The 26,422-nt window shown below is 41.8% G+C and overlaps 1 annotated feature.

Annotated features, from left to right (window-relative positions):
- Nucleotides 8,745-8,971: a silencer, noted in NCBI's record as "fragment chr10:86991842-86992068 (GRCh37/hg19 assembly coordinates)". NCBI's record gives its function as "represses an EF-1alpha promoter that drives an FKBP-Casp9 reporter gene in an ReSE screen in K562 erythroleukemia cells {active_cell/tissue: K562}" and the evidence as "EXISTENCE:reporter gene assay evidence [ECO:0000049][PMID:32094911]".

Below are 26,422 nucleotides of genomic sequence, written 5' to 3'. Positions count from 1 at the left end.
TCTTAAAACTGAGAATCTGTCAGAATCATGTTTTGGTAATTTTTTTAAAGCAAGATTCTCCTCACATCACATGCTCATCAGCAGGTATTATAACTTTACTAGAAATTGACTTCAGAAATTGGGAAAAGGGTGTCCTAGGGCCATCAATGTAAAAGGCTTAAGGACTCCCAAATGGTTTTAATGACTAAATTAGAAGCTGCAGCCTAAGTCCAGTAATAGATTTCTCTCCTTGTCTTTTTCAGTAGAAAGAAACAGAAAAATAATTATTTTTAAAGTCATCAGAGCAAGAAAGGATTGTCCAGAAAGGATGGCAGTGTGGGGATAATGCCAAGCAGAAAATTTGCAGTTCATCTGCGTGATGAACACACCCAGGTAGCCTGGCCCTACCACATGTGCTGCAGTGGAGGACTGCCTGCTCAGACAGGGATGGCGTGGAATCATGAGAAAGCAGACATGAAGATGAGGTCCCTCATCTGTGCCACCCCCACCCATGCCTGAGCCGTGCCCCACACGGGGCTTGTAACACTTTTCATAAGAAAATGACCTCACAAATAAGATGACTCTTCCACTCCTTTACCCATCATGACCATCTAGGTGCTCTGGAGCTCACCCAAGGGGCTCTTCAGCCTTCTCTGAAGGTGATCCTCATGTACTAACACAGTTCCACCAGCTTCCTCAAGTTTTACTCACCAGCTTCCCTATTTTTTGCCTCCTGTCATTTTCTTTCCTTTTCATGTTTTCCCTCCAATAGTGACTCTAAATAATTCCAAATAAATATGACCCTGTAGAGCAAACTGCTCAAGGCAGTGACATGTCCATGGGCACAAGTATTAGTTATTCAACAAGTACTCCTGCTAGGAATTTATCCAATACACGACCAGTATGGCACCAAACGCATTAAAACAGTGCTTTGTTTTATTCTTATAAGAAACCTGGGAGGAAACAAGTTATCATCAATTCGTAGTTGAGGGAATGGAAAGGCTAGATAACATGCCCAAGGTTGCAGCACTGGTGAGTGGCACAGCCAGGTTTGGGAGCCGGTGTGCCTAAGCCATCTCAGTACATCGTCAGCCTTGAATCCTGACAGTGGGCAGGTTGTGATCCACCCCTTGCAGGGATCACAGGCCCAAGTGAGCAAGATGCCCAAGATGCCTCTCTGGTATCCTTTGACGTCAGTCATTCTGACAAGTCTGATTTTCTGGATTTAATTTTGGTGACTCTTGGTGAAAAGAATGAGAGAGTTGCCACCAGAGCTTGCCAGAACTAGAACTAGAGGGGCTTTTTCTAGGGCTCATGCTGCAGTGAACACAGGCTTCAGGTGCACCCAGGGCTGCACCTGCCTCCCAGAAAAGCCACTCATCGTCTGGGTAAACACTCTGAGCTTCAGTTTCCTCAGGGAAATAATGTCTTCCTAAAGCGGTGAGGATTAAATAAAATCATGTATATAAAAAGACTGAGCACAAAACTTGTCACAAACAGTGTATCCAGAAAATATGTCTCTCCCTCATTCCTTTTTCTCAGTAACCTGCAGGCCCCTATAGGGTGCGAAATGCTTTCCTGTGGCATGGCAGGGGAGCTCATGGCCCTCAGAGATGCTTGGCCAGTCATGGCTCACAGGGCAGTTTCCTTCCTGCCAGAGTCTGGCTCTGCGTAGTCATTGCTGGGCATTCACTCTCCCTCTGCCATCATGGAGAGAAACTTGGGGTTTCACTTTCACAAAGGAAAGTGTCCCTGTCATTAATTGGGGGAAGAAGGTGCAACCACAGTGATGCCTAAGCAGATGTGACTTTTTATTCAAAACAAAAGAGTCGGGCAGGCTGAATATCTCCTTCCTGGAGCCTCTACTGAAGACAGAGGATGAAATGGAGGGGATTGCGGTGTTGGGACCAGAAACTTAGGGTGGGGGTGACCTCGGGCAAGTCACTCAACTGTTTTCAGCTCCTTCATTTACTCATCTCCGAGACCCTGATTCGGTGAGAGCTTTGAGAGTTACAGGCGAGAAGTTTGGTACTGGCCTGATTGAAAGGAAAAGGTTAATGAGTGCGGCTCTCTTCTCCCCTTCATTTCCTGTTGGTGCTCTGATTCAGGCCTCTGCAAGGGATTGTGCTCTGGCCTGAAGGATTTGGAAGATTAACAAAGCGAGCCCTGAGTGCGGTTGGATCCCCGCTGTCCGGGTGAGAGATGCTCCTCGCCCGGGGTGCGCGCAGCCTCCTGCACAGAGGAAGCCGGTGAAGGATGAGGCAGCTGCACCTCAGCACCGCTCAGGGTGAGGGCAGGGAGGCAGAAAATAACACTCACCAGGAGCCATGCTTCATTTTCTGCGATACAACTTAGGGGCATCATCTTCAATCAGTGTCTCTCCCAGGAAGAGAAGGAGCCACTTTCTATGTTCACTCAGATTTCGCACAAAAGGAAAGCCTTGATGAGGCTGTCCCTGTGCCTCTACTGTTCCCATTCGCACCGCCCCCACCCACAGGGCCCCTCACCTCCTCCGGATGTGAACAAGGTGCAGCCCCTCGGCTGGGGGAGGCGAACTCTAACCCCAACCCTAGCCCCGTTTCCACCTTGTTTCAGAGGCGCTCGTTTTCTGTCTGGCACCCTGGGGTTTCGCGTGCCTGCCTCCTGCCCCTCATCTAGCCTCTAAGAGGCTCTACAAGTCCCGCCCACCACCGCCAGCACCACTGCAGGCCTTGCTGCTGAGCCCTGCCACTCTTGGGACCTCCGTGATAGCCACTACTCCCCCAGTCCCTCTTTGCCTCACTTTTAAGGCTGAGGAAATTATCTTCCCAGCCGCAGATTTGTAGCCCTGTCTATGATCCCAACGTGGCACCTTGCTAAACTGCCTCACCTTCCTTGACCTGAGAGCCTGTCCATGTTGCTCAGGTCTTTAGATTGCTGCTTACTTTACCCTAGTCCATTATGTGAAGCCCGAGCACAATCTGTGACGTTATCCCATAAGCTGGCTATTTCTCACTGTCCTTGGTCACCTACGTTGCCATAACGGGGCACTGGGTCTGTATGCTCATATCCCGCCCCCTCCCTGTGTACCTCCAGAGTCTGTCTCAGAGCAGCAGCAGCAGCAGCAGGGGGACGCTCCAAACACAAGTGACGGCTGCTCAGGAACTTCTGGTGGCGTGTCCTCTCTCTGGAAGGAGAGGCTTTTGGCACTCCAGCCCCCCAGCCCATGCCATCCCATCTTGCCTCTGCCCATTCTCTGACTTTTTTTTCCTACCCCTTCCCATCATTACTCTTTGCTGTCCTCACACAGGGAAGGCACACCTCTGGAACCCTCTTCTCCCAAAAACCCACATGGTTTTCTTCATTTCCTTTTTTTTTTTTTTTTTTTTTTTGAAGAAATCCTGCTCTGTTGCCCAGGCTGGAGTGCAGTGGGCTCAGTGCAACCTCCACCTCCCGAGTTTAAGCAATTCTCTTGCCTCAGCCTCCTGAGTAGCAGGGACATGCCACTATGCCCAGCTAATTTTTTGTGTTTTCAGTAGAGACAGGATTTCACCATATTGGCCAGGGTGGTCTCAAATTCCTGACCTCAAGAGATCTGCCTGGCCTGGCGCGGTGGCTCACGCCTGTAATCCCAGCACTTTGGAAGGCCGAGGCAGGTGGATCATGAGGTCAGGAGATCAATACCATCCTGGCTAACACAGAGAAACCCCATCTCTACTAAAAATACAAAAATTAGCCGGGTGTGGCGGCATGTGCCTGTAGTCCCAGCTGCTGGGGAGGCTGAGGCAGGAGAATGGCGTGAACCCGGGAGGCGGAGCTTGCAGTGAGCCGAGATTGCGCTCTGCCCTCCAGCCTGGGACACAGAGGGAGACTCCATCTCAAAAAAAAAAAAAAAAGAAAGAGCTCTGCCTGCCTTGGCCTCCCAAAGTGCTGGGATTAGAGGTGTGAGCCATCGCTCCTGGCCTCAAACATCATGTTTTTATTGAGGCCTTCAGAAGTGCTTTTTAAATTTTTCTTTTTGAGATGAAGTCTTATTCTGTGACCAGGATGGAGTGCAGTGGAGCAATCATAGCTCACTGCAACCTTGACCTCCCAGGGTCAAGCAATCCTCCAACATCAGCCTCCCAAGTCACTGGAACTGTAGGCTCATACCATCACGCTTGGCTAATTTTTAAATTTTTTGTAAAGACAGAGTCTGACTAAATTGTCCATGCTGGTCTTGAACTCCTGGCCTCCTGCTTCAGCCTCCCAAAGGGCTAGGATTATAGGCGTGAGCCACCATGCCCAGCCAGGAGTACCTGCTTTTTAGTTACAATCCTTATACCTCCTGCCCTCTGGCATCAATCATTCTTATTCTCCTTCCTTGCTTTATTGTTTTTTTTTTCACAGTACTTAAACCATTTTCCAACATACTATACTAGAAAATTTACTTATTTTTATCTGTATCCTCCTAATTGATTTTAAGCTCCACAAGAAAGAGGGTTTTTATAGGTATCCTAGCACCTTGAACACTTCCTAGCACCTAGTGGGCACTCAATAAATGCACATTGAATAAATGGACTCTAATAACCACAGCCAAGAATGGGTCTCCTTCCATTTTCTTGCAGTTTTATTCCTCATTACACCTTACATGGCCCTGTGACTGTCCCAATAGGCTGCATGTAGCAAGAAGACGATAAAGGCATGACCTCTTTCTTCAGGAGAAAAATCTGTCCAGACTTCTTTTAAAGTCATTATTTATGCCCTAACTCTAACTAGATTTTTTATTACCATAAGCCACTGGCTTTAAGGGACTCTACAGCATGTAGATGGCCTTGTACACACCTGGTTCCTGTACAGGGTGCATGCTCTACTTGCTGACAAGTGGCTATCATGGAGATGAATGATGTCCCTGGTATTATTACACATTGTCAAGAAACTTCATTGGCTTAATCAATCCAGGTAGCCTTTATTCAGAGGGAAGAGGAAAATCAGTCAAATTAGTTATTTGACAAGATGTCAAAGACATAATCAGTTATTTAAAATGAAATTCCCTAACAATTGGGTTGGTTTCATTTAGACACATGCCCTCCTTCTAACAGTCTATAAGGTATTCATATAACTAGTTCTTCAAGCCCTTAGAGAATGAGCCCAACTTACCTCATTTACCTACCCTAAAACCAGAAAGTAATATTTGCAGGCACTCATGGAGGAAAAACTCCTAAACACTTCTCTATGCCAGTATGTGTGAACTTCAACAGTCATAATCAGATAGCGACTTACTTGGGGTTGGGATCGAATGCACTATGCATGCTGTTATGTATTTCTCTTAATAGCCCTACCAGGTAGGTTTTATTAACACATTTTACTGACAAGAAAACTGGAGTGGAGAGGTTTGGCAATCCTCCAAAGTCACTTGATGGGTAGTGTCGGGGCTTAAATTTCAACCAAGTACTGTTTAATTCTAAGCCTATATTCCTTTATTGTTTCAATCTGTAATTCTGGTTCTCATTCGTCCTCTTCTAGGTTAGTTCTGTGGCCAGTTGGATAAGAGTGATTTTTAAAATAGCTAACAGCACAGAAGAAAAAGCAGATTAAACATTCAATTTCTTCCCCTTTGCTTGATGCTTGGAATGTGACTGCTCTCCAGCTATGTACACAAACATTGTGAGGAGGAGGGCCAGCCATGCTTCAGTTAATATTCAAGGTCACCATTACTTATTTAATTCTATATTAAGACTCATCCAATTACTAGAGAGAGAATTCTACTTTAAACTGTCTTAAAGAATAAAGGAAATGTATTTGTTCCCCCCGAAATCCCATGGTACAAAACAACTTCAGCACTAGTGGAATATAGGTGCTCAACTAGGACCTTAAGACTACATCTCTATCTCATGTCTCTATTTTCCTTAATGTCAGTTTTTTGTCACCAACTTCTTCCTCCCCTAGAGGTGGCAAGTTCATCACAATTAGCTATACTTATCTTGCCTGAGAAATCCCAAGAGAAACAGATAATTTCTTTCCCAACATTTCCAGGAAAATCCAGAAGCTTAATTTCACTTGCCTGAGAAATCCCAAGAGAAACAGGTAATTTCTTTCCCAATATTTCCAGGAAAATCCAGGAGGTTAATCTCACTTGCCTGGCTTAGGCCGTGTGTCCATCCCCAAACCCATAAGGCGGCCAAGACAATGAAACAATCTGATTATCCAGACCTAGGTAATGGAAATACATGTACTTAAAGTCCAGGAAAGGGATTCCCAAGACAAATCAGAGTGTCATGGCCAAAAGAATGGTAAATGGATGCTGGAGAGGAAAAACAACAAATGGCCACTAAACTATCTGTGGTTAGTGCATATCCTCTGTGTCTACCAGTTTCCTTATCTGTAAAACTTATTGTGCATCTCACAGCATTTTCGAAGGATCCCATGAGGTAATGTTTGAAATCACATAGCCCAGTGCTTGGTGCTTCGTAAATACATCAAATAGCATATTATTATTTTACATTATAATGGCACAGGCCTCTGGACTGTCTTCTTATCAATTCCTAGATGCAACTTATTTTGCTCATGCCTCTGGCTCCTTATTTAAATAATTCAGAATGTCTCAATCTTTGGAATTTTTGATGACCAGAAGATTCATGAAAAGCTGGAACTTTCAGAAAGGCTGCTACAAAAACTGTTGGCCTCCCTTATATTTCAACAAGGCATGTGCATATATGGTTTGTGTAGACACAGTATGAAGCAGAGGCATACATCTCATTATTATATTTATCTTCTAACATATTGCTATTTGGCCATAATCTCCTTTCCCTAAAGAAAAGGAGGGAGCAGGAGACAATAGTAACACAAAAAACATATTGTGCTTTGATACACATGAAAGATCTGGGGAAGGAAGGGAATAACTTCATCTGTAGAAAATATGTTTTTCTTAAAATCTGGTCCCTTTAGCAATTAACTGGTTGGGAAATATCTTTGGGGGAAAGTCGTATTAAATAAGTGAGGGAAATAAGCTTCTGGAAATAGCTTTTCCCTTCCATTCCTTCAAATCTGTTCTGTAAATATTTCAGGGTAAATGCTGAAAGATGACTTTGCCTCCCTGGTGGCAGATATCGTTGTTTTAGAAAACAGAGTTTATAAGCAAGATTCTTTGGAATGCTTAAAAAAGTCAGCTGATTTTTCACTGATGAAACATAAAAATAACAAAGGAAACAGAGGAACTTGGGGGAGCAGGTGACCATGACAAGGTCTGAATGGTCCTTGTCTTCATTTTAGTTTCAATATTCTTTGTCTGAACATAAACTGTTTTTTTTTCCATTTCAGAATGAGAAGGTGCGTGGCAATCCACATTCACTCCTTGAACCAGTGTTTGTTCTAGAGTCTGGATATATACCCATGAACAAAACAGACAAGGTCCCTGCTATCAAGATCGTATACTGTAGTCACAGAGACAGAAAATCAACAAATAATTAGCAAGAAAAATATTAAGCGAGGATAAATGTCAACCAAAAAGTTGAAATAGATTTATGGAATAGAGTCCATAGATGGAAAAATTGGGCCAGATGGTTGTGCAGGTGAGCAGATGCCCCACAAGATCCTCATTACAAGTTGGTGCACTCCTCCTCCAGCTACTGGAGGATAAGTCTATGGCCAGTGGCTTAAACTGACAGTCTTTTCAGGAGAATTATCCTCAGGTGATAGAAGATACCTGCAGGGCAGCCAATGACTGATTGATGCTGTTTATGAAAGCCTGACCCCTTCCTTCAAGGCAGGCCACCTGTGAGGTGTGATTTATGCTCCAGATCCGCTCACCACCCCCATCCACAGGTCTGTCCAAAGTTAGACATTACCTAAGACCACATCTAAGACCAAATCCTTGCTCTTTTTTCCTCTTCCCCTCCCTGCTTTCCTCATTCCTTTACAGATTTTTCCTAAGTGTACACTCTCAATAAATCATGTCTTCCCAAACCCATCCCTCAGGCAGTTTTTCTAGGAAGTGCAAACCAAGATAGCAGTCAAGGAAGGCCTCTTCTGAGTTGTGATATATAAGCTGGGACATGAGTGGTGACAAGTAACCAGGCACGCAAACATCTGGTGGAAAAAGTCTGACATGCTGAAATAACCAAGATATCATCTTGGATAAAGGGCACTAGAAAGGAGGAAAGTGTGAGAAGAGGAGGTCTGAGAGCTGTAAGACCTGATCCCAGATCTTACAGGCTAAGGATCCTGGATTTTAGTCAAAGTGTGGTGGGACACTGTTAGCAATTTTTGAGCAGTTGTGTGTTCTGACTTATGTTATAAAAGAATTTGCTGGAGAACAGCTGATCCTGGGGTCAAAATGGTAGCAAGGAGATCAGTTAAGAGGCTGTGCAAACACTGAGTTCAAGTTGCACTAGCATCTATTGTGTGTATTTTATCTGCTGGACAGTTTACATATATTTCCTAAGTTCTACTAATAACTTCAAAATGTATAACAGATATTGTCTCAGGAGTTTAGAGATAAAGAAAGAGACACAGTTTGCTTGAATAGTTAATATGAAGGCATACAGCTATTAAGTGGTATATCTGGAATTAAATCAGTCTATCTGGCTCTAAAACCTAAGCTTTTCCTACCATACTGACCTCCTCATCTGATTTCTTTGTGTGCCATTTTCTCTGCAAATAACTCCATCAGTCTGACTTGCCATATTTGGGTTATCAGAGGTGTCAAGGCATTTCTGCCCCACTGGGGATATGAGTCCCTGCCGAATCATCCGTCTGCTGGGCCCCTGAAAGACTGGTTGCTATTATCCAAACGCATCTGTTTGTAATTATGAGGTGCCCTTACAATTCCCCTTTTTGTCAACATAATTACTTTCAATTATATTAACACTCTTCCCTGACCAGCCCAGGGCCCCACTCCCCTGCCAACTGCAAGACATGATTTCCAAAGCCCTCGCCACTGCAGTCCAAGCATATGGACTCTCTTCTCAGCTCCAAGCACAGGAGGGTTCGGATCCAAAAACAGTGTAAATGGAAGCTACTTCTTGCTTTGTCCATGCCACTATGACAGTGCAAGAATTGACTATATTACCTGGAACCATGTTTGGAATGATAACAAAATCAATGACTTTGTCAACTTAGGGCATATTTTAAATGGACACTTAATTTGGAAGTGATTTTCCTGCCATGAAAAGTCATGATAATCTCAGAATTCCTCCTCCCCACATGAGCCAGATAGAAAAAGAGAAGCCAAATTTATTCCCAGTGATCAATTTAGAATTAGGGAAGAAGAGACTTCCTAAAGTTCAAGCAGTGCACCGGTCTAGAGAGTAGCAGATTAGAAACAGCAGTAGCTAGAGCTTTGTACATGGTTGATGAAGATTCTGGATTAAAGTCCAAACTTTCTGAAAGGGCAAGTTGAAAAGTTCTCTGTAGTTTGCATAAAACTGTGAAGTAAACATGAAATTAGTCCAATGTACACTAGAATATGGAAAGAGAAAAGAAAGAGAATTAACATTGGCTTTGTCTCACTCTTGCCAGTCATGGTGTAAAATGTTTTACCTCCATGAATTCATTTGATCCTTATACTAATCCTATGGGGGTGAGTATTATTATTCTGGCTCTCTGGTGGAGGAAATGAATTTAGAAAGTTTAACAATTTGCCTGAGGCTATACACTTAGTAAATGGCACACCCAGGATCTCAGCTCTGGTCTCTGTGCCCTCAAAGGCTACATCATCTTTCCAATCTGCAAAAATAAAAATTGAAAATTGAGTGAACAAGGGAGATATCTGACCAAAGACATCAAGCAGCTCTTTAATTTGGTGTTGAGGGAATGATTAGAGATAATACAAATCCTGAAGTATATTAATTACAGCTTGATGAGAGTATGTATGTATGCACCAAAAATAACCACATATAATTGCCTAGCATTCATTCTATAGTGTATGGTTCAGTTGCTCTAAAATATTCCTCTTTGACCCAGGTAATACTGAAGAACCATTGAAGTCTTTGTTAGCCACTGTGTCTGAGCTGGAGTAACATGTACCAGCAGCCTTGCAGAGCAGGTTACTATTCACCCACATAAGACAGAGGCTAAATAAGTTCCATTTCCAGTGGGGTAAGCCAGAACTTAAACATGTACTGCTATAATGAGAGTCATTAATTGTCCTAATTCTAATTCTAGACCTGTAGAGATCTCCTGAAGTTAAATCCACGTGGAGGGTAGGGCTATTGATAGGAGTCTTTCCAAGATATTTCCCATGACCCACAAGGCGTCTCCCTGCTCTATCCTATATTTCTGTTGGAGTTTCTTTAAGCATTTCTCCTTGTTCTGGCAGGATGTATAAGGATAAGATTCACTTGCAGGCTGACTCAGCAGACCCTCTGCTCAAGGATAAGAAGTTGCTTCCTGAATGGAGTCTTAGCCTCATCTTTGCAATATTCTACTTGAAAAAACTTCTTGGAAGCATGTTGATTTTCGCTGGGGTCCTCCCTAATTCCCCCTGGCCCTGTTAATGTCAACCTGCCTCTATTCAAGAAATCAGACACAGTCTGTGTTTGATGACAAAATGTCTTCATGTCTTTTCTTTTTTCTTTTTCTTTCTTTCTTTCTTTCTTTCTCTCTCTTTCTCTCTTTTTTCTCTTTCTTTCTTTCTTTTTCTTCCTTCCTTCTTTCCTTCCTTCCTTTCTCTCTCTCTCTCTTTCTTTCTTCTCTTCCTTTCTTTTCTTCCTTCCTTTCTTCCTTCCTTCTTTCTTTTTCTGTTTCTCTCTTTCTTGGCTTTTTTGGTTCATCTATTTGGCTCATCCTCTGCAGTTTCTTTTCCTGTCTACCTAGAGCTCAAGCTAGTCTCATACAAACTCTTTTGCAGTGATACACAGCCAGCTACAGTGGATAGAATTTTCCTTTATCCTTTAAGATGTCCTTTGAGAACTGAAAAATGGAACTGCCAATCTTAGCAGGATTCAACGAGAGCTGTATTCAGAAAGAATAAGTGGAAATATGATCAAGTGAGCATTTTCAAATTTCAGCAAAATGCATTTTGCTGAATTGACAAGGCTGAGAAGCCAACTTACAAAAGGAAACCCTCCAACCAAAATAGTGTAGTGATGCTCCCCTGGCTTTGCAGGACCTTTCCCCTGGTCAGCAGGATAGCCCTCTGGCTGGTTTAACTACACAGGATTCTAATAGAATATTTAGGATGTGGCAAACTCTGGGCCAGTCTTCATATATTCTTTTTTTCATGAACATCTAACTGGGTCCCTGTGATACAGACAAAAATAATAACAACAACTATTGATTCCTGAATATCACATCAGGTACTGTGCTAAGTACTTTTCAGTGTATTACCAATAACAACCTTATGAGCTATGCGTTATTAAAATCCTAACATTACTGGTGAGAAAAGAGAGGCTTAAGAGAGATAAGGTGCTCCATGGCCTCTCTGCATGTGGATTTGACATAAGGTCGATATTCTTAGCATTATGCATCTCTCTCCTGCAGGGCTAACTTCAGATTAAAGCCCTAGGCAGGGAGAGAGAGACCTTGCCACACTTGGGCACTGGGAAATAGAGAACAAAATAAATTGAAGGTAAGGGGTGACAGAACCTGTGCCAGACAACATGCAAGGCCATTTATAGATGCTGTATGATCCAATCTACCACAAAAACCCTGGCAGTTTACTTTCATTATTCCTATTCTGCATATAGGGAAATATAGGCTCAGCCTGGGGCTGTTAGTGTTTTCACCAAAGGCATTCATTTATTCATTCATTTACCATATATTCATTGGACATCTAGGAAGTATCATGTTCAGTGCTGAGTACCAAAGTAAATGAAATCAGAGAAGTTATAGCCCAGGAAAGGAGTTAGATACTAATCTAACAGCCACACAAATTGTTATATGAATATAGCTATCCAAAATGCATGCCATGGTACTCTGAGAATGAGCATTTGCCTAATCAAGAGGTCAGAGAAGGCTTCCTAAGGAATTGATAATAGAGTTTTTATCTAAAGGATGTGTAAGTGGTATCTAGCAAAGAGGAGAGGGAAGATTATTTCAGGCAGCAAGTGCCAAATCCCTGTAGGAAGAGGGTGTGTGACCCATGTGAGGAGCCAGAAGAAACTAGAGAGAGTGAAAGGGTGCCCTGTGACCATGGGACCAAGAGGAGCCAAAGAGCCTGAGCAGGACTAAGACTTGGCTGAGCCATGTGAAACCACAGTCAGCAAAAGGCTGTTGGCTCACTGTGCTCAGCCCTTGTTTTGTTTGCTCTGTCATTTTTCACAGGGCTGCAGGATTCTGCAAAGTTGTCTACAATCTACTCTAGAGGTTAAATGAAGGCTGAGGAGTGAGCGCAGTACAGGAAGAGGCTGGCTTAATGGAAGAAGGGAACAAGGTTGGCCTAACCATACTTGGAAGGAAACGTTAGCTGAGGCTAGGTAGAACAAGAGAAGGAAGTGTTCATAGAAGGGAAATGCATGCCAACTGTGGAACAGAAGTCATATTTCCAAGAGCATAAATGTGTATGTACATGGGGTGCAGTGGTGGGGTAGGTTCCTGATTTGATTCCTTTTATTGTTAAGTATGGCAAAATGAGAAGGCCAGAAAATTCCTTTAGGGGCCTGAAGGCTTGGATTGGTCATTTTCACATACCAGGATTTCTCAGAGCCCTACATTGGACAGAGTGCCTTGTGGCCTGAAACCATTAGGTGGGGCCTCTATAGGAGCCTGTTGGGCCTGGCGTATAATTACTTTTCAGCAGGCTGGGCTCATCCCTTGCTGTGTGGGGCCTCTTGTGGTATGGAGAGCAACTGGGCAGGGAACTAGGAGCTGAAATATCGACTCCAACCAGTGGATCAGGACATTACAGCCTGTTTGACCTGCCCTTAGGGCTGAGATCCTACAAGAAAAGGCCATGTAGCACTTAATTTGTGGCATTATATGTACTAGCCTGGCACCAAGGTTTTCTCCAGTCCTTCCAGCTTCAGGATAATCTACTCCATGGAGCCCCATCTCCATTAGACTGGCTTCCTGATACAAAAATCACTACCTCTACAATGCTTTCCAATACTCAAGTTTGGAAAAGTTTGGATTGTGGAGAATTTGGACAGCAAAGCATACCTGTACATGTTGGGATCCCACAGTACTATCTGAATGCCAGTCATCCTGTGATATGATGTTCTTCTAGTCACCTGTGCCTCTGCTGGTGTCTGACCTCATCAGCGAGTTGTCTAGACCTCAGGTGGACCATAGTCACCATTTCTCAGCTGTATTTCCATCTATACCTCTGGTTATCAACAGATACTATTCAACTGCCCACCTGCAGTACTCTGGACACCCGATGCCACCCATCTGTTAATTGTCTGCTCATCGTCTATTTGAATGGCTATTCTGGATACTGGATTCCATCTCAGCCTCTTGCTAGGACCACTTGCCTGCCACCTGTTTGCTCCTCCCTGGAACAGATGGTTAGCTGTTTTTTTTTTTTTTTTGAGATGAAATCTTGCTCTGTCACCCAGGCTGGAGTGCAGTGTCACGATCTTGGCTCACTGCAAGCTCCACCTCCTGGGTTCACACCATTCTCCTGCCTCAGCCTCCCAAGTAGCTGGGACTACGGTCACCCGCCACCATGCCTGGCTAATTTTTTTTGTATTTTTAGTAGAGACGGCATTTCACCATGTTAGCTAGGATGGTCTCAATCTCCTGACCTAGTGATCCGCCCACCTCAGCTTCCCAAAGTGCTGGGATTACAGGTGTTAGCCACTGCGCCCGGCCTAGATGGTTAGCTTTTGTGCCTACCTTTGCATACTTGTGTTGGCTTCTGACCTCAGCAATCATTCTCCGAGTCCTTAAGGCCTGGAACTTTCTCAGTCAGGCCATCCAGACCCTGAGAAAACCTGGCTACATTTCAGCAAGCCAGGCCATTTGCAGAAAGAGACTAGATTAGCCTTGCTACCCTAACCCTTAATCATAATTTATTATTGATAGATTGTAGACTTTCACTAATCCCCACCACATGTCCACAGTGCAATTTGTCCTCTTATCTCACTTACTGCTTTGTTCTCTTGCTCTCCTCAGTTTTCTGATGTCCTAACATCCTTCCTAGTCACTACCACATTGCTCTCACTAGGGGAAGTCCTTGTCTCCTCAAATACAGTCTCAGGCAGGGATTTTCTGCTAAACTGAATGAACCACCTTTGCCAAAAACCACCTCCTTTTACTAGTGACATCCATTGCCTGGGGATGATCATGTTCATTTTCTTCCTCAAGACCAGCTTTCATTTGATTATAGTATTTGGACTGCAGTTTTTATCACTGGGGTCAGTCCCACATCCTCCAGTTAATGGATTCTCAGGAGCTCATCCTGCCGGGAGAAGCAGAGCTTCACAGAAGTTAGGAATTCAGGCTTTGAGCCAAACCGCCTGGGTTCAACTCCTGGCTCTGCTCTTTACAAGCAGAATGTCTTTGAGCAAGTTATTTAATTTTTCTGAGCTTCATTTTTCTCATCTGTTAGTGGAATTAAAAATTGTGTCTCTATTATATTAATAGGATCATTGTGATGATTACAGGTTAGTACATGTATGCATTTGGAAATGCATCAGACAGACAGTGCACTCTGAACCAATGTTAGTTATTATCTCTGCTTTTTATTTCCCACTAGTTTGCTGTAAGTTAGTACTTGGCTGGGTGAGGCTGATATTTCAGACCTACTTTCAGCCCTGGAGTGATTACCCAGATAAATAAGATCACTTAGGATCCTCAGTTGGTCTCCAAATCATAGACCTTGCAGAAATCAGAATGTGGAAAGGGAATAAACTTATATCCATTCATCCATTTATCATTTTATTCATTTAAGAAATATATATTAAGCCTCTGCTCCATGCAGGGCATTGGGCTCAGTGCTTTGCATTTCTTGTTTCCTGTACACAGCTCCTCAGGTTGGGCATTTCCTAAAAGCAGATCTACTCATACATGGAAAACTGGATTCAAATATAATATGGTTTGGATATTATGCTGGAGGTGGGGCCAATGCTGGAGGTGGGGCCTGATGGAAGGTGTTTGAGTCATGGACATGGATCCCTCATAGCTTGGTGCTGTCTTCACTGCAGTGAGTGAGCTCTCATGAGGTCTAGTCATTTGAAAGTGTGTGGCACCTCCCCCTCCATGCTCTCTCTGCTCCTGCTTTTGCCATGTGATGTGCTTGCTCTCCCTTTGCCTTCCACCATGATTGGAAGCACCCTGAGGCCCCCTCAGAAGCAGATGCCATTTTGCTTCCTGGATCGCCTGCAGAATGGTAAGCCAATTAAACCTTTCTACTTATAAATTACCCAGTCTGAGGTATTACTTTATAGCAATGCAAGAATGGCCTAATACAGTATATTATGCCCCAATAAATTATGTTTTGTGAGCTAATAAATTCTCTGTTGCACAGTGTGGTCTAAGCAGGCAGAAGAAACTGAAATGTTCCTCAAATGCCACATGCTCTCTATTTCTGCTAATGTCACCACACTCAGAGATGGATTGGGAGGGATTGTTTAAAACAAATCCTCCACAGAGCCACCCCTACCTCTGGTTCCCAGCCTCCCTGAGGCTCAGGCTTATTTCCCATTCTTTCCTCCCTACAGAACGCTCAGCACCCCCACCCTGCTGTCCTCAGTCACTGCTTGTCTGAAGCCATGCCTTTGTCATTCTCTGCCTCCCCATCTGTCTGACTTATCCATGTCCTTCACCAATCCAGTGCTTGTGATTGTCATAATGCTAAGCAAGCGATCTGGGCAACTGAGGGTAGAATTTTTTTCTTCCTGGAATAAAACATAAAGCCACAGTCCAATATATCTTGGGTACTCTCATCAGATTTGGAAATATGTCCATAATTAAAACTGCCAAATTGAATGCTAGTTCTAAAAATTGGTTTCATTAGTAACGGGAAAGCTATTTTAATGCATCAGATTATAGATAGTTTTGCTGCTTTTAAAAAAGGAAATGAACTTTTTAAAAGAAAGAACAGAATAAGAGGCAAGAACATAACCTATCTCAGGCAATGAGTAAGAAAGTTTCTCAGAAGGTTCTAATGTCTTCCTCTTCAAGCTTTGCTTAAAAAAAAAATTACAAGCTGTCAGATGGTCCACGGTGATAGGAATGCTAAAATGAGTGATTGCGGGGGGGAAGCATGCATGCCTTTAGAAGTTTTCTTTTATTAATTGGCAAAAGTAGATCGATTGCTTGATTGACTGATTATTGAAGGATTAATGGTGCCTGACTTAGGAGGGGTGAGGAACTCTTCCGCATGATCTGCCCGCTGGTATGGGCTGGAAAATGTCCATCTGGTGCTTAAGTAAATATTAATTGAGACCATATCTAAGTGCAGCTCAAAGGCTCAGGGACATAGTGGCTGTCATGAACAGCTTGGGGAGGAGAAAGATGAGTTCTTTTCTAAATGTAGGCTCTGTTACAGGCTCACTGGGAATCAAAGTCCAATTGCTTCAACTCACTTCGTCTTGTTAACTCAGATGGAAAATTGGGTTAGAAGCAGATCACTTACATGGGGATGGCTATGGTTACCCAGGTCAGCTTTTACAGAGCCGTGGAGTCTCTGAGGAACAGATTGTTAAGGCAGATGGATAGACAGGAATGGGGAAGTGGGGCAGGCTCCCTGGGGAGATAGAATCTCTACAAACATCAGAAAGCATTTTGCTGAAAAATCTCTTCTATTTGCTACCATCTTTTCTTGCCAAAAGTCTCTGCCTCCTGCCGGACCCACAGTGAGAATTGCTACCTAAACTTGTGTTGGACCACCGTGGGCTGTAGGGAATGGAATGGGTGTTTTGGGAATGAGCAGAGCTCTTGGGATAAATGCCACTTAATATATGCCTGGCCAATGAAAGCAAAAGGAAGAACCATACTTCATCCTCCCTCTGTCTCACAACTCAGCTCCGGTTTGACGCTTTGGTCCCCTGGCTGTTGCTGAGTGCTCTGGGCGCTCACATTACCTTTTGCTGCACAGTGACTTTGCTCCACAGATCTCAGCCTGAGGAGCAATTGTGGGCTGTGGCTGTTACTCAGTAGCTTTCCTTCCCCCTCACCGTCCTTTCTGTCCAAATCTGTTCTGCCAGCCCAAGTCCTACAGGAGGGCCATCAAAACTTCTTGTAGGAAGCAAATGCACTGCTGGATATTTTCCTAAGGTAAATTTATTGAACCATTTCCAGGAAGATAGTGATGGAGGAGACCAAGTTAGGTGTGCTCACTCTCCGCACCCCCAGTCAACTGTAGCCTCTGAAAAGAAAGATAAATTGGTGTTCTCCACTCACCATAAAAAATGAAAATTTTCTGCTGGGTACCCAGAACTGGACAGGAAACCATTGATCTTCCTGAATAAACATCTTTCCATAAATCTTTATCTCTTCCAAAGATAATTGGGAGAACAGTGGCTTCTGAATTTACTCTCTTCCGGCAGTTACCTCCCTTTCATTCTTCTGGGTATATTTGTTTTCAAAGCCAGAATGTACTACTAGGCTCCATCCATCAAGGGAAAGAAAGCCTGAATGATTTCCTATTTCACCTCTAATGTGTCAAGCTTGAGAATTCTCTTAATTCACGAGTTTTGCAAGGTGCCTGGCATTTTCCATCACAGGTGGGCCTGTCATATTGCCTCACTCCTCCTGAAGGCTGTGTCCATACTGCTAATCCTATTGCTCTGCTTAGATTTAGGACATCCACTCTTTCTCCTCTTTTCTTCACTTACTCATTTATTTATTTCACATGTAATCCATCATATGTCCATCATCGTATGGGGAAATCCTATTGTTAAAATAGATCTGATGACCTGCGTGCCTGAAGATATCTCCCCAAATGAAAGTCCCTGGATCCTGGCTTCCTCGTCATTGCTCTCTGAGGTGTGCAGCTAAAGCAAAGGAAATCAGTTTGGTAGCCACATTAATAACCAAACATGTTATTTTTCAGTCTTAAAAATCATTTGAAACATTCAAATCTTAATCTTAGTATTTTTGATTTTCTGAATGTTTAATTAGCTGTGTAGCTAGAACATTAATGTATTAAAACCCATATTCGTTTTTCTTAAATCTGGGTTATTATAATGTATAACTTTTAATAAAACCTTCTAACTATAGTAATGCAAATCATAGAAGCTTTGAGAGGCCCATGAATCAAAGTTACTACCTCAAAGCTGTGAAAGTTACTTGGTGTTTGCCCAACACAACCCTTAAATAGAAGAGTATGTTTTTAAACACACTGAGCCTCTGCAAGGGGCCCACCCACATGATTAAGATGCCCAGCCTCTGTGTTGCACTGTTATATGCAGATATAATGAAAATTATTTTTAATGTGGCAGAAACAAATACAGACTCTCAAAAAAAGATTTCACCAAGACTGATTGAGTTTTAAGGTCACCAATATAATGCAAATGGTTCTTTTGTGTAAGTGTATAAAACGCAAAAGGTGATGGCTTCTATGAACAGAGGAACATGTCAGATATCACTATGAAGGTTGTTTGAAGAAATTTGGAAATAGTAAATTGAGAATGATGAACCAAGTTTTCTTTACAGTGGAGAAGCCTGGAAAATCCATGTTTGCCAAGTGACAGATGTAAACTTCACCAACAAGAAAATAAATAGGCACTATGTGCCTCCTGGTGGGATTTTCTGAGTAGGGCAGATAATCACTTCTACAGTAGTGCTACTAGAAATGCATTGCCTGGGTGTAATCATGAGACAAATACAAATTGAGGAATAGTCTATAAAAACAAAAACACATAGTTCGACTCTTCAAAAGTGTCAAAATCATGAAAGAGAAAGAAAAGAGGAGAAACTGTTCCCAATTAGAGGAGACTGCATGAAAGGCATGGCCCTGAGTTACAGCCTGGATTAGTAAAAGAAAAGATACAGATTCGATAAAGATATAGGTAAGATTATCTACCTACCAAGCTATCATACATGTATTAGTTTGTTCTCACACTGCTATAACTGCCCAAGACTGGGTAATTTATAAAGAAAAGAGGCGTAATTGACTCACAGTTCCACATGGCTGGGGGAAGCCTCAGGAAACTTACAATCAGGGCAGAAGAGGAAGCAAACATGTCATTCTTAACATGATGCAGGAAGGAGAAGTGCTGAACAAAGGGGGAAAACCCACTTATAAAACCATCAGACCTTGAGAATTCACTCACTATCACAAGAATAGCAGCATGGGGGTAACTGCCCCCATGATTCAATTACCTTTCACCAGGTCCTTACCATGACATGAGGGGATCATGGGAACTACAATTCAAGATGAGATTTGGATGGGGACATGGCCAAACCATATCAATCTACTTATCCATCTATTTATCTACATTTTTCCCTCTATACCTCTGTGTATATGTGTGCGTGTGTGTGTAATCTCTTAAGAAGGACATTTTCTGCATTATTATCATCATGCTGTTATCAATATTATGAAATTTGCTGATTTATTTAATATCAGCATTTATTTTAGACACAGGAGGTACATGTTTAGAATTGTCACATGGGTATATTGGACCTAGGTAGTGTGCCTAGTACCCAATAGGTAGTCTATCAACCCACACTCCTTGCGCAGTAGTCAGCAGTGTCTGTTGTTCCCATGTTTATGTCCATGGGTGCTCAATGATTAGCTCCCACTTATAAGTGAAACATGTGGTAATTGGTTTTCTGCTCCTTCATTAATTTATTTAGGGTTATGGCCTCCAGCTCCATCCATGTTACTGTAAAGGACATGATTTTATTCTTGCTTATGGCTGCATAGTATTCTATGGTATATATGTACCACATTTTTTTTATCTAATCCACCATTGATAGGCACCTAGGTTGATTCCATGTCTTTGCTATTGTGAATAGAGCTGTGATGAACATACGTGTGCATGTGACTTTTTGGTTTAATGATTTACTTTCTTTTGGATATATACCCAGTAATGGGATTGCTGGGTCCAATGGTAGCTCTGTTTAAGCTCTTTGAGAAATCTCCAAACGGGTTTCCACAGTGGTTGGACTGATTTACATTCCTACAGTGTATAAGAGTTCCCTTTTCTCTGCAACCTTGCCAGCATCTATTGTTTTGACTTTTTAATAATAGTTATTCTGATTGGTGTGAGATGGTATCTCATTTTGCATTTCTCTGATGATTAGTGAAGAGCATTTTTTTTTCAGATATTTGTTAGCAACTTGTCTGTCTTCTTTTGAAAAGTGTCTGTTCATGTCTTTTGCCCACTTTGTAATGAGGTCATTTTTCACTTGTTGATTTACTTCAGTTTCTCTTAGATTCTGGATATTAGACCTTTATCAGATGTATAGTTTGTGAATATATTCCCCCATTGTGTAGGCTGTCTGTTTATTCTGTTGATGGTTTCTTTTGCTGTGCAAAACTCTTGTCTCACTTGTCAATTTTTTTTTTTTTGTTTCAGTTGCTTTTGGGAGCTTGGTCATAAATTCTTTGCTAAGCCAATGTTGAGAAGTGAATTTCCTGAATTTTCTTCCAGGATTTTTATAGTTTGAGGTCTCATATTTAAATCTTTAATCCATCTTGCGTTAATTTTTGTATATGGTGAAAGGTTAGCATCTTGTTTCATTCTTCTGCATAATGGCTAGCCAGGTATCTTAACACCATTTATTGAATAGGGAGTATTTTCTCCATCTCTTGTTTTTATTGGCCTTGTCAAAGATCAGATTGTTGTTGGTGTACAGCTTTATTTCTGAATATTCTATGCTGTTCCATTGGTCTATTTGTCTGTTTTTGTACCAGTACTGTGCTGTTTGGTTACTATAGCCTTATAGTATAGTTTGAAATCAGGTAGTATGATGCCTCTGGCTTTGTTTTTTTCACTTAGGATTTATTTGGCTATTTGTCCTCTGTTTTGGTTCCACATGAATTTTAAAATAGTTTTTTTCTAATTATGTGAAGAATGTTGTCGGTAGTTTGACAGTGATAGCTTTGAATCTGTAAATTGCTTTGGCAGTAGGGCCATTTTAATATTGATTCTTCCAATTAATGAGCATTGGATGTTATTTTATTTATTTGTGTCATCTCAGATTTCTTTTAGCAGTGCTTTGTAACTCTCATTGTAGAGATCTTTCACCTCCATGGTTAGTTGTATTCCTAGATATTTCATTTTGTTTGTAGCTACTGTAAATGGGATTGTGTTCTTGATTTTGCTCTCAGCCTGAATGTTATTGGTGTATAGAAATGTTACTGATTTTTGTACATTGATTTTTTTTATCCTGCAACCTTACTATAATAAAATTGTTTAACAGTTCCCGTAGCCTTTTGACAGAGTCTTAAGAATTTTCTAAGTGTAGAATCACATTATCACCAAAGAGAGATAGTTTGACTCCTTCTTTTCCTAGTTGGATGCTGTATTAGTCCGTTTTCACGCTGCTGATAAAGACATACTGAAGACTGGGAAGAAAAAGAGGTTTAATTGGACTTACAGTTCCATATAGCTGGGGAGGCCTCAGAATCATAGGGGAAGATAAAAGGCACTTCTTACATGGTGGGAGCAAGCGAAAAATGAGGAAGAAGCAAAAGCAGAAACACCTGATAAACCCAGCAGATTTCATGAGACTTATTCACTGTCACGAGAAAAGGATGGGAAGGACTGCCCCCCACGATTCAATTATCTTCCCCTGGGTCCCTCCGACACCACGAGGGAATTCTTGGAAATACAAATCAAGTTGAGATTTGGGTGGGGACACAGCCAAACCATATCATTCCACCCCGCCCCCTCCAAGTCTCATGTCCTCACATTTCAAAACCAATCATGCCTTCCCAACAGTCCCCCAAAGTCTTAACTTATTTCAACATTAACCTAAGGTCCACAGACCAAATTCTCATCTGAGACAAGGCAAGTCCCGTCCACCTATGAGCCTGTAAAATCAAAAGCAAGCTAGTTACTTTCTAGATACAAGGAGGTACAGGTATTGAGTAAATACAGCCATTCCAAATGGGAGAAACTGGCCAAAGCAAAGGGGTTACAGGGCCCATGCAAGTCAAAAATCCCGCAGGGCAGTCAAAATTTAAAGCTCCAAAATGATCTCTTTTGACTCCAGGTCTCATATCCAGGTCATGCTGATGCAAGAGGTGGGTTCCCATGGTCTTGGGCAGCTCTGCCTCATGGCTTTGCAGGGTACAGCCTCCCTCCTGGCTGCTTCCATGGGCTGGCATTGAGTATCTGTGGCTTTTCCAGGTGCAGGTGCAAGCTGGAGTCTGGAGCACAGTGGCCCTCTTTTCACAGCTCCACTAGGCAGTGCTCCAGTAGGGACTCTGTGTGGGGGCTCTGACCCCACATTTTCCTTCCACACTGCCTGAGAAGAGGTTCTCCATGAGAGCATCGCGCCCGCAGCAAACTTCTGCCTGGGCATCCAAGCGTTTCCATACATCTTCTGAAATCTAGGCAGAGGTTCCCAAACCTCAATTCTTTTTTTTTTCCTTTCTTTTTTTTTAATTTTATGTGCAGCAAACCTCAATTCTTGACTTCTGTGCACCCACAGGCTCAACACCACGTGACAGCTGCCAAGGTTTGGGAATTACACCCCCTGAAGCCACAGCCTGAGCTCTATATTGGCCCCTTTCAGCCACAGCTGGAGTGGCTGCGACACAGGGCACCAAGTCCCTAGGTTTGCACACAGCACAGGGACCCTGGGCTCAGCCCACGAAACCACATTTTCCTCCTGGGTCTTTGGGACTGTGATGGGAGGGGCTGCCGTGAAGTTCTCTGACATGGCCTGGAGACATTTTTCCCATGATCTTGGGGATTAACATTAGTCTCCTTGCTACTTATGCAAATTTCTGTGGCTGGCTTGAATTTCTCCTCAAAACATGGGTTTTTCTTTTCTACTGCATCGTCAGGTTGCAAATTTTCTAAGCTTTTATGCTCTGTTTCTCTTTTAACATGGAATGCTTTTAACAGCACCCAAGTGATATTTTGAATGTTTTTCTGCTCAGAAATGTCTTCCGCCAGATACCTAAATCAACTCTCTCAAGTTTAAAGTTCCACAAATCTCTAAGCCAGGGCAAAATGCCGCTAGTCTCTTTGCTAAAACATAACAAGAGTCACCTTTGCTCCAGTTCTCAACAAGTTTCTCATCTCCATCTGAGACCACCTCAGCCTGGACTTTATTGTTCATATCACTATAAGCATTTTTGTCAAAGCCATTTAACAAGTCTCTAGGAGCTTCCAAATTTTCCCACATTTTTCTGTCTTCTTCTGAGCCCTCCAAATCGTTCCAACCTCTGCCTGCTACCCAGTTCCAAAGTAGCGTTCACATTTTTGGATATCTTTTCACCAATGCCCCACTCTACTGGTAGCAATTGACTGTATTAGTCAGTTTTCATGCTGCTGATAAAGACATACCTGAGACTGGGAAGAAAAAGATATTTAATTGGCCTTATAGTTCCACATGGCAGGGGAGGCCTCAGAATCATGGTGGGAGGTGAAAGGTACTTCTTACATGTCAGTGGCAAGAGAAATGAGGAAGAAGCAAAAGCAGAAACCCCTGATAAACCCATGAGGTCTTCTGAGACCTATTCACTATCACAAGAATAGCATAGGAAAGACCAGCCTCCATGATTCAATTACCTCCACCTGAGTCTCTCCCACAACATGTGGGAACTCTGGGAGATACAATTCAAGTTGAGATTTGGGTGAGGACACAGCCAAACTATATCAGATGCCTTTTATTTCTTTCTCTTTTATGATTGCTCTGGTTGGGATTTCCAGTACTATGTTGAAAAGGAGTGGTAAGAGTGGGCATCCATGCATTATTCTCATTCTCAAGGGGAGTGGTTTCAGCTTTTGCCCATTCAATATGATGTTGGCTGTGGACTTTTCACAGATGGCACTTATTATTTTGAGGTATGTTGGATTTTATCAAGAGCTTTTCCTGAATCTACTGAGATGAACGTATTGTTTTTGCTTTTAATTCTCTTTATGTAGTGAATCACATTTATTAATTTGTGTATGTTGAACCAATCTTGCACCCCAGGAATAAAGCCTGCTTGATCATGGTGAATTAACTTTTTGATGTGCTGCTGGGTTTGATTTGATAGCAGTTTGTTGAGGACTTTTGTGTGTATGTTCACTGGGGATATTAGCCTGAAGTTTTCTTTCTTTGTTATGTCTCTCTGCCTGATTTTGGTATTAGGTTGATACTGGCTTCATAGAATGAGTTAGGGAGGAGATCCTCCTTCTCATTTTTTTTTTTTTTTTTGGAATGGCTTCATCAGGAGCCATTCCAAAACTGACTAATACAGTCAATTGGTACCAGTAGAGTGGGAGATATCTGTGAATTGGTATCAATTCATCTTTGTATGACTGGTAAAATTTGGCTATGAATCCACCTGGTCCAAAGCTTTATTTGGTTGGTAGAATTTTTAAATTACTGATTCAACTTCAGAGCTTGATATTGGTTTTTTCAGAGTTTCAGTCTCTTCCTGATTCAATCTTGGGAGACTGTGTGTTTCCATTTCCTCTAGATTTACCAATTTGTGTGCATAGGGTTGTTCATAGAATTCTTGGAGGACCTTTTGTATTTCCGTGGGATCAGTTGTAATATTATCTTTGTCATTGCTAATTGTATTTATTTGGGTCTTCTCTTTTTTTTTCTTTGCTGATTTAGCTAGAGGGTCTATCAATCTTATTTATTTTTTTGAAGAATCAACTATTGGTTTCATTGATATTTATATAGATTTTTGCATCTCAATTTCATTAAGTTCTTCTCTAATTTTAGTTATTTCTCTTCTTCTGCTAGTTTTTGGAGTTGGCTTGTTCTTTTTTTCCTTTCCTAGTTACGTTGGGTAAAAAGTTAGATTGTTAATTTGAGATCTTCCTAACTTCTTGATGAAAGCATTTAGGGCTATAAACTTTCCACTTAACCGTACTTTGGCTGCATCTCAGAGATTTTGGTAAGTTGTGTCCCTATTTTTATTAATTTCAAATATTTTTTATTTTTGCCTTAATTTAATGTTCACTTTGGAGTTATTCAGGAGAAACTTGTGAATTTGCATGTATTTCTGTAGTTTTGAGGCATTGTCTTGACATTGATTTCTATTTTTATTGCACTGTGGTCCAAGAGCATGCTTGGTATAATTTTTTAAATTTATTGATACTTGCTTTATGACTGAATATGTAATTGAACCTAGAATACGTTCAGTGTGTAGATGAGAAGAGTGTATATTCTGTGAGTGTTGGGTGGAGTGTTCTCTGGATGTCTATTAGATCCAATTGGTGAAATGTCAGGTTTAAGTCCAGAGTTTGTTAGTTTTCTGCCTTTAACCATCTACCTAATTCTGTCAATGGGGTGCTTAAGTCTCCTACTCTTATTATGTGGTTATCTAAGTCTTTTCACAGGCCAAAAATAACTTGCTTTATGAATCTGGATGCTCCAATTTGGGTGCAATATATATTTAGGTTAGTTAAGGTTTCTTGTTGGATTGTACCCTTTATCATTATATAATGCCCTTCTTTGTCTTTCTTAATTTTTACTGGTTTAAAGTCTGTTTTATCTGACAAAAGAATAGCAACTCCTGTTCTTTAATGTTTTCTGTTTGCACAGTAGATCTCTCTCCATTCTTCCTTTTGAGTCTGTGGGTTTTATTACATGTGAGTTGGGTTTCTTTAAGACAATAAATGATTGGGTCTTGTATTTTTATTCAGCCTACCACTCTGTCTTTTAAGTGGGGCATTTCGTTCATTTACATTCAAAGTTAGTATGGATAAGTATGTTTTTGATTTTGTCTTCATGTTGTTAGCTGGTTGTTATATAGACTTGATTGCATAGTTGCTTTATAGTCCCTGTGGGCTATGAGCTTAGGTGTGACTTCATGATAGCAGGTGTCATTCTTTTGATTTCATGTTTAGCCACTTCCTTAAGGACCTCTTGTAAGGCTGGTCTAGTTGAAATGTACTCCCTCAACATTTGCTTGTCAAAAAAAGATTTTATTTCTCCTTCACTTATGAAGCTAAGTTTGGCAAAATATAAAATTCTTGGTTGGAATTTCTTTTCTTTAAGGACACTGAAAATAGGCTCCCAATCTCTTCTGGCTTATAAGATTTCTGCAGAGAGAGCTGCTGAGATATCTGCTGCTAGCCTGATTGTGTTCTCTCTGTACGTGACTTAACCCTTTTCTCTAGTTCTCTTTATGATTTTTTCTTTTGAATTGATCTTGGTGAATCTGATGACTGTGTGCCTTGGGGATGGTCATCTGGTATAGTATCTAGCTAGGATTTTCTGTATTTGTTGGATTTGCATGCCAACATCTCTAGAGAGATTAGAAAATTTTTTGTGTACTATATCTTCAAATATATTTTCCAAGTTGCTCATTATTTCTCTATCTCTCGCAGGAATGCCAATGAGTCATAGATTTGGTCTCTTTACATAAGTCTGCATTTCTTGGAGTTTTCTTTCATTGTTATTAATTCTTTTTTCTTTATTTTTGTCTGACTGAGTTGATGCAAAGAACAAGTACTCGAGCTCTGAGATTATT

This window comes from Homo sapiens, chromosome 10 (assembly GCF_000001405.40).
Source record: "Homo sapiens chromosome 10, GRCh38.p14 Primary Assembly".
Classification (NCBI taxonomy): Eukaryota; Metazoa; Chordata; class Mammalia; order Primates; family Hominidae; genus Homo; species Homo sapiens.
Note: the sequence above shows the minus strand (reverse complement) of the source record. Positions and strands in the feature narration are given on the sequence as shown.